Source organism: Homo sapiens, chromosome 12 (assembly GCF_000001405.40).
Source record: "Homo sapiens chromosome 12, GRCh38.p14 Primary Assembly".
Taxonomy (NCBI): domain Eukaryota; kingdom Metazoa; phylum Chordata; class Mammalia; order Primates; family Hominidae; genus Homo; species Homo sapiens.
This window is the reverse complement of record NC_000012.12, coordinates 70,171,217-70,180,279: the sequence shown is the minus strand read 5'-3', so window position 1 is coordinate 70,180,279 and position 9,063 is coordinate 70,171,217.

Below are 9,063 nucleotides of genomic sequence, written 5' to 3'. Positions count from 1 at the left end.
CCAATTGGATGTTGCTTATCCATGGGGGAGGGTGGATCTTCCTTACTGAGTCCACTAATTCAAATGCCAATCTCTTCCAGAAACAGCTGCACAGACATACTTAGGAATAATGCTTTACCAGTTATTACCAGCTGGGTATCCCTTAACTCAGTCAAGCTGGCATCGAAAATTAACCATCACAGAAATCTACACCCAATTTAAAGAGAATGTGGACCAGGACAATTTGATATGTAAGATTTGTGCCAAGGAGTAGCTGAAAATAAGATGAAATGGATAGATAGGTTTTTATTCATGTTCAATATCTAGTAGATCAGTTCCGCTTATCTTATTGATTTAATTAACCTTTGATATATCATGGGCAATTATAATAGTTCTCAGCTAACCCAAGAAAATAGATTTATTATTACCTCCTTCTTATAGATGAGGAAACTTGAGGCCCAAGGACGTTAAATAACTTGCCTAAGGTCAAAAGACTAAGGATGTGGTGTAGTTAATATCTGAACCTATGCAATCTCATTTCTGAGCCTATGCTCTTAAACACTGCCTTTACTGGCTTTCCTTGTCTATCATATATGTTACAAATATCTTTTCAATTTCTCATTCATAATTTTAATTTTGTATATGGTCTTTCTTACTGGATGATATTTAAAATTTTATGTGAGGCCAGGTGCAGTGGCTCATGCCTATAATGCCAGAACTTTGAGAGACCGAGGCAGGAGGATCACTTAAGCCCAGGAGTTCAAAGTTGCAGTGATTCATTGGGGCCTGTCAGGAGGGGCGGGGTAGGGGGAGGGAGAGCATCAGGAAAAATAGCTAATGCGTGCTGGGCTTAATACCTAGGCAGTGGGTTGATAGGTACAGAAAACCACAATGGCACACATTTACCTACGTAACAAACCGGCACATCCTGCACATGTATCCTGGAACTTAAAATAAAATAACAGACAAACAAAAGTTGCAGTGACATGATTGTGCCACTGCACTCAAGCCTAGGCAGCAGAGCAAGACTCTGTCTCTAAAATAAATTAAAATTTAAAAAATCACAAAATTTTATGTAATCAAAGTTTCAATATTTTTCTTAATTTTATTTAGTTTTGTTTCATAAGAAAGGCTTAGTATAAAGAATAATAAAACATTTCCTATTATATTTTCTTTTGAATTTTTAACTTTTATTTTTAACTTTATGATAATTAATCATGAATCTTTTATTGTATTTGTCTATGGCCTGAAGTAGAGATCTAATTTTACTTTTCTTCCAAATGGCTAGCCAATTATCCTCAAAATATGTCCTTTTTTAAATGACTTGACATGCCACCTTGATACAGTAGATGTTTAGAAATTTGCCAGTTGCTGGACATTCTACCAATAAGTGTTTCATTCTGGTTAAGAAGAATTCTTTTAAAAGTGTAACCCTGGAAGGAATATTAGTTAGAAACACTGTAATGTAAATTAGTTAGATAATACTGGGTATCTATTGATACCCAGCTGAGATAAATGTAGCTAAAAATAGTAATTTTGGCTCTGGAGGTCAAATCTTCCTGGGGACAAGGAAGTTAAAAGTAGAAAAGTTAATTTTTAATGTGGCATGAATGAGAGAAACTATTGTCTTCTTCACAACTGTTGTCATTGACAAAAAGCTCTCGCATTTTTTGATGACAATTACTGAAGTATTATCTGGCACCAATTGAAATAATACGGACTTATAATATGGCTTTTTAGTAAGCAAATCACTCCAAATTTTTCTAATATTTTTCAGCTTTAAACCAATGAAAAAGCCATAAAAATAGCCACAAGGATAAATAGTCCAATGAAGGCTCTTTCTTTGTAAATGTGAAACTAAGATCGATTTTGGGAGAAAATGTCAAATCTTTTCATTTCCTCTGGGGACAGCATTATGCAGGTATGTTAGTAGTCTTTCTGTAGAGTATCAGGAAATCCATCTGCAAATAATGAATAATTTCCTCCCATTTCACTATGTGCATGCTCTGAACAATTAATGTCCTTACTTGCCTTCACAATGGTTCAGTGTGATCTAACACAGATTGAGCCATCTGTCTGTGTTTTCTTCCATTTGCAACATTTGTTCTTCCTGCTGATCTGACTGCTTCTTTTCTCTGCTTTCTGATTCAGATTGAGCAAGCTTTCCCAGAAATGTACTTGTTAGCCAGAAGCAAGTCTCTTGGACTACAGAAATGTAAAATATTCTCCTACTATATTCATCCTGTTAGTAATGTTTTTAAAAACCTTTTTTAAAAAAGTATATTGCCTGGAAAGCATACTAGGTTCTTACAGAATTTTTAACCTCTTGGCAAAATCAAATATATGTAAATCTAAAATCACGTTTGGAAGAAATAAATACAATTTTCTGTAAATGTGGTCCTAAGGATCATTAGTGTCTTGTTCTAGTGAAGTTCCAACATTCCTTCTTAAGAAGAGCATCTCAGTACATCCAACTGGAATCAGCTGGCTTCCTCTTGAAGTACATTCTTTTCATGTTCCCTCAGTGAAAGTCTTTTGGTGATAAATCCTGTTTTCAATTTTTTTTGGATAGTGTCTTTATTTTATTTTCCTTCTCAGAAGATCTTTCAATTGTATATTATTTCATTATCTTCTGACTCCTTTTTTTAAAGCAATGGGGTCTTGCTCTGTTGCCTAGGATGGACTCAAACCCCCTGGCTCAAGCAATTCTCCCACCTCAGCTTCCTGAGTAGCTGGGACTACAGGTGCACAACACCACACCTGGCCCATTGTTATTATTAAGAAATTAAGCTGTCGTTTAATTGTGTCTCCTTTGTTGGGTAATCTATCATTTCTTTCTAGTTGCTTTTAAGATTTTCTTCTTGTCTTTGTTGTTTTGCAGCTTCACTCTATGTTGGGGTGGGAATTTCTTTTATTTATACTGTTCAGGATTTGTTGACCTTCCTGAATATGATAATTGATGTCTTTCATCAACTTTTTAAAATTATTAGTCATTATTTCTTTAAATATTACTTCTCCTTATTTGAATGACCTCTTCCTGGAAATGCTAATTAGCTCTTCTCACTCTATATTCTATGTTTGTAAACCTCTCTATACCTGTCTGTCTCTCTGAGCTGCAATTTGAATATTTTTTCAATTTTATAATCCATTCATTAATTCTAATTAGCTGTATCTAATCTGCTTTTTAACCTTTTGATTGAGTTTTAAATTTCATTACATTTTCATTTTTGAAGGTTCAGTATGGTTAGTTTTCAAATTTTCCTGATGAGTTTTGTCTCATTGATTTGTTTTTCATTGCTCATATTTGTCAATCCCTGTTATATTTCTGAAGACATAGTTAACAAATTTTTTTGTCTAATAGTTTCAATACCTGAAGTATGTCAGGGTCTTGTTATTCACTGTGTTGTTTACTCCTGTTTCTGATGGCTTATTTTCTTTTGTGTTTGTGATTTTAAAATTGTTATTAAATAATACTTGGAACTTTATCTGTAGAAATTCCTTGAAGCTAGCATAAATGTACGCTCCTCTAGGGAGAGGGGCCTATAAACACAACACACCCAACTCCACTTAAGTTTCACCTTCCATTAATGTAGATTTAGGCCCTAAATTCTTGTGAGGGTCAGAAAAAGGTCACAGTTTTCTGTGGAGAGACTTAAGCAAACAAACAAACTTTTATCCAGAGCCAATGCTGAGACAGGTTGTCTATTTGATTACAAGTTCAAGTTTCTTTTTTTTCTAGTTCACTCTTTCCCTGAGATGGTAGGCCTTCCAGGGCTCCACCTTTATGCAGCATGATCTTTGTTCCCATACTGTCTTCTGCACAGTAGCTCTAACCTACCATGACTCAGAGTTGGCCAAGAATTTGCTGGCTTTAGAGTTTTCATGTCTTCTTGATCTTGTGTTCCTGATGCAGTCCTATATTTGGTGGATTTCTCTTAGTTTATTGCAGGTTCATTCAATAATTAAAGTGAACTATATTTAATTTTATAGAACATTTTTAGATGTTCTGTGGAAGGAAGGTTTTTTGGATCTCTCCAATATTCTACCACGCTACTGATATTATTTCTCTTTCATTTTTGAAAGATAATTTCACTAAATATAGAATTTTAGGTTGATTTTTATTTCTTTCAACACTTTAAATACTTCACTCCATTCTCTTCTTGCTTGCATCATTTCTGATGAGAAGTCTGCTATGCTTTATTATCTGTTTTTCTGTATATGTGAGGTGTTTTTTCCACCTTGCTTAAAAAAATTAATTAATATTTTTGGTATAAATTTTTAAGGGGTACAAGTGCAGTTTTTGTTACATTAACGTATATTGTAATGGTGAAGTCTGGGCAAGATTTCCTTTGTCTTTAGTTTTCTGAAATCTGAATATGCTTAGGTGTGGGTTCTGTTTTTGTATTTATACTATTTATACAAATAGGACTTTAGTAAGAAGATGTATGTCAATCTGGCTAGGAATCAGAGACTTCAGATTTCTCTAGTGTTCTGGGATTTTTGTTTTTATTTTGTCTCCAGTCTTCATATGTACCTCATATGTACTGTTCTTCAAAGACAGTCTGTGTCTTGCAGCTCTTTCAGCTATATTCCACTGTTATTATATTTGAGACTTCCCAGTATGGTGGTAGGGTATGTGGGAGGAGAAGCACTTCATAATTTTCTGATTGACTGTCACTCTTTTAGTGGTCTAAGCCTTGAGTCTATGGCCTTCACCAATGTTTCTGTCCTTTTTTTCAGTGTTATAGCATTTATCCCCTACTCTCTACTCTCTGGCTGCAATATTGTCAATCTATTTCCTAAGGCTTGTCTCCAGTTGACTATGGTCTCTCTCCCCACCCTTAAATGAAATAGGAAGGCCAAAAGGGGCTGAAGTGGGCAGGAATTCTTTTTCCCCACCTGGGATAAGTTATCAGAATTATACTTTGGCAAAGAAGTTTTCTCTGGAGAGTAGGCCTTCGTTATGGGGAAGGATCTACATGTGGTTTGCACATAGATCCCCTTTAGAAGCCCCCTTTTCCTGCCAGAACCAAGAGTGAATTTTTCTGGGATCTTCATGATGAAAACTTGGTGAGACTCAGACAGACCGTAAAAGTGTGAGACCTGCAGTCTCCAGGAGTTTCTTATTCTCACACTAGTCTACACTCAGCCTCCAGCAATTTATCAAAACTATTACTTTTAAGTGTTTCTAACAGTTTATGTCTCCAGTGACTTCTGCTCCAAGTTAAGCAGATATAAGTTGCTTTATTTCTCTGGAAGAACATGCCTCTGCAGATTTCAGGATGGTGGTTTGATTCAAAGCATTAGTTCTATGATGGGTTCAAGTAGAGTCATTGATTTTTTAGTTAGATCAGATTGTTCTTGTTGTAAAGAGGTCAGAGACAACTTCTAAGATCTTTAAATGTTGGAGATGAAACAAGTTTACTACTGACTTAAGAGTTTCCATATAGTTTGGGTTCTTTGTTTTCAAACAAAAGAAACTGTCTAGCTAACTTAAGTGAAAAGATATTTGTCAGAAGGATATTAAGAACCAAGGCAGCTCTGGGCATCAGTAAACAAGAACTATAGGAAAGTTTTATCAGCAAAATTTTAGTTAAAACATCTCCACTAAGTGTTCAACTGTTTTCAATACATTTATTCATCTGCTCAAGATTCCAATTTCAGGAATTCTGGGACAAAGGTGTTGAGGTGGCTGCAGAGTTTTTAAATATTCTTGAATTCCTGCATAAAATTAGAGGAAGCAGCTAGATAGCAAAACTATCTGGAGATCATTTACAACAGAACTAGATTATAAGATGTCCCCCACAGCCTAAATTACCAGTATCTTCAGGCCTGTGGTTATCATTATCTTTGTTGAAGAAACCTATAAAATTCAGGATGATGATGATTTTTATAAGGAGGGAATAGTCTTCGGGATGAGCTAAATGAAGGGGGTTCTGAAATGGCTGAAAAAGTTCTTTACTTAATGTAGATGGTAGTTGAAAGATTGTTTGCATTGTAGTAATTCACTAAACCATATATTTGTGTTTTTTACCGTATCTGTGTTTTATAATAAAAAGGCTATAAATTTTTAAAATTATATTCTGGAAAAAGAGAATATAATTACCTGGCCTAATTTGTTATACAGGGATATCCTGTATGGGATATGTCAGTCCCATCAGATTGTGTTCACAGGGTTAGAAGTTATTCCCCAAAAGGAAATAACGTTCCTTCCAGATGGATAAATGAATGCTAGGCTGCCCAAACCCAATAATTTTCTATTACAATACAACATTTTTATAAATTTGGGATAGCCCTCTTGTGGTATATATCAATTCTATTATTGTAAGCAGCAAACAAATTATGTGAGTAAGGCCATTCAAAAGAAGAAAGTTCTAAAATTCAGCCACTAGGAAATGAACGAATTAAAAAAAATAGTTTTATAAGCAATGGTTTTACAAGTGTTAGTGTGTAGCTAATTAAAGACGACACTTTAATATTTATAATGAACAAATATATTGAATATGGAGTACTTTTCCCATTGCTTATTTTTGTTGACTTTGTTGAGGATCAGATGGCTGTATGTGTGCAGCTTTATTTCTTCATTCTATTCCATTGGTCTATGTGTCTGTTTTTGTACCAGTTACTGTAGTCTTATAGTATAGTTTGAAATCAGGTAATGTGATACCTCTAGCTTGAACTGAATTGAGAATAAATGTGCTGTAAGAAAGTGAAGACGAAAAATATAGACTATGGCTAGAAGTCTGAATGAGAAGAGAAAATAGTTGGTGGTATTAGGAGGAATATGAATTAAGGAGTTGATTTTTTAACATGAGAGGAACTAATTACCATCTGAGAGCATGCTGCTAGTAGAGAAGGAAAATTTCACTTGGTGAAAGAGAAAGGTAGTAAGGTCAAGAAGAGGTTAGAGAGTCTGGGATCAAGGACACAGCTAGAGCTGTTGCATAAGCATATGTAATATTTTTTTCTTTAGTGAAACCACTCAAACATAACTTGTATAATTCACATAATTCACATATTACCTTAGTTCTTTGAGGCAACCTTAGATATGGGTGAGACTGACTTAATGCAGCATTATCCTGTGGATTGTAGACTTACAAAATTTTTGTTAAGATTTATATGAATTTCCTGGGCGCTTGTGATCTCATAGTCATTTCTTACTCTGGCTCTTTTTTTTCAATTTACTCAGTCTAGTTTATAGATCATACACCACCCTGTTCATGTAGCCTATGTTTCATAGCATGTTAACTCAGTACTGGATTTTGGGCTTTTTCCTTAATAAGGCCATTAAAAACATTTGGCAGGGCACAGTGACTCACACCTGTAATCCCAGCACTTTGGGAGGCCGAGGCGGGAGGATCACCTGAGGTTGGGAGTTCAAGACCAGCCTGACCAACATGGAGAAACCCAGTTTCTACTAAAAAAATACAAAATTAGCTGGACGTGGTGGCGCATGCCTGTAATCCCAGCTACTCAGGAGGCTGAGTCAGGAGAATTGCTTGAACCCGGGAGGCGGAGGTTTCAGTGAGCCGAGATCGTGCCATTGCACTCCAGCCTGGGCAACAAGAGAGAAACTCTGTCTAAAAAAAAAAAAAGATTCACATTCACAGCATATATATGTAGACATTTTTGCTGAAGGCTGGTAATATGCAGGGATTCATTTCATATCACAGTAAAATAAAAACTCAACTTGAAGTCAGCCTCCTGTACTTTTCTTATTCTTCTCAGTTTCTGTCCTCTTCTCTAAGGAGCAAAATCTCAGTTTCTCTTACTCTTTAGTAGCAGAATAATTTCGTTCTCTATGTCCCCTGTACCTAAAGTCAGCTTGAGGAAATCGTGGCCTATCAAAACCCAGTAAAATGCTCAACAGAACAAATGGGCCTTCTTTAGAAATGTTTTTTTGCATCCCTCACATAAATTTGTAGCCAATTTCAAGTCTTTTTCTTTTTCAGGGCTCATAATGAAAAAAAAAATTTTTTTTTTTAAAGAATATGCCATTAAACAAAATAATACTATATCTGAGCTGGAAGAAAACTTAAACACTGCCCCTTACCCCTGTATTTTACCAAAATGAATGAGGCAGGTCATATAGTTTTCATACTCTTGAGCTTCTAAAACTCTTTTATATAAATGTTTTAGTTTATAAAACACCTCAAGTTTCTGAACCAGACCATGTTTTTCATTGACACCAAAGTCACATAATTTCTTCAATGTTTAATTTAAACTGTGATGTCATTGGGAGGGATCTTTTATTGGCCATCATGGTACACTGTCATTACATATTCCTAAAAATCCCTATGTCAGATTTACTGTTCTCTCTACTAAGAGAAAACAAAATCTGAATTTGCTTTGGTAACTGCTATACCTCACTTTTCTTAAGTTAATGAAGCTTTCCTCTGAAAAAGCCAAGAAGGTTCTATATCTTTTCCTGAGGATGGTTTGTTGAGTCTGTATGGAGAATCAAGAAAATGGTTTATAACATTAAATTTGCCACTAGCTGCTTATGTCAACTAGTTATGTCAGTTATGATATAACCAAACCTAATTATTTATTAATTGCCTCTTCACAGAGATGAAATAAAGAAGAAAAAGAAAGTGTTTGAGAATAGCTTAACAATTAAAAGCAACTTAAAAGACATGAACATAGCGAAATGACCCAGTGAGTCCAACATAGTGCTCTAGGGATGCTGAAGTGACCAATCAATGATGAGGAAGATGACAAGTACATACATATCACATGCTGTCCTCACCTGTGAGACGGTATCTAAAATATCAACAAGAATACTTCCTGTGGGAAGTATTTTAATAGGAGGATAAAAAGGAGCCTGTGATTTCAGAAAACGATGTTCCTATATCCAAGGAAAATACTCTCCCAGGAAAAACACAGCAGACTTTCCAGGTTCAAGATGTCGTTCCAGATTCCAGATTCAAGAAGCCATTATATTAATGCAAATTTAACTTGATGAAAAAAATTTCATGCTGTGTCTATGAAATGTGAGTAGAAATCATTACAGTGGCTGGGCGCGGTGGCTCACGCCTGTAATCCCAGCACTTTGGGAAGCCGAGGCTGTTGGATCACCTGAAG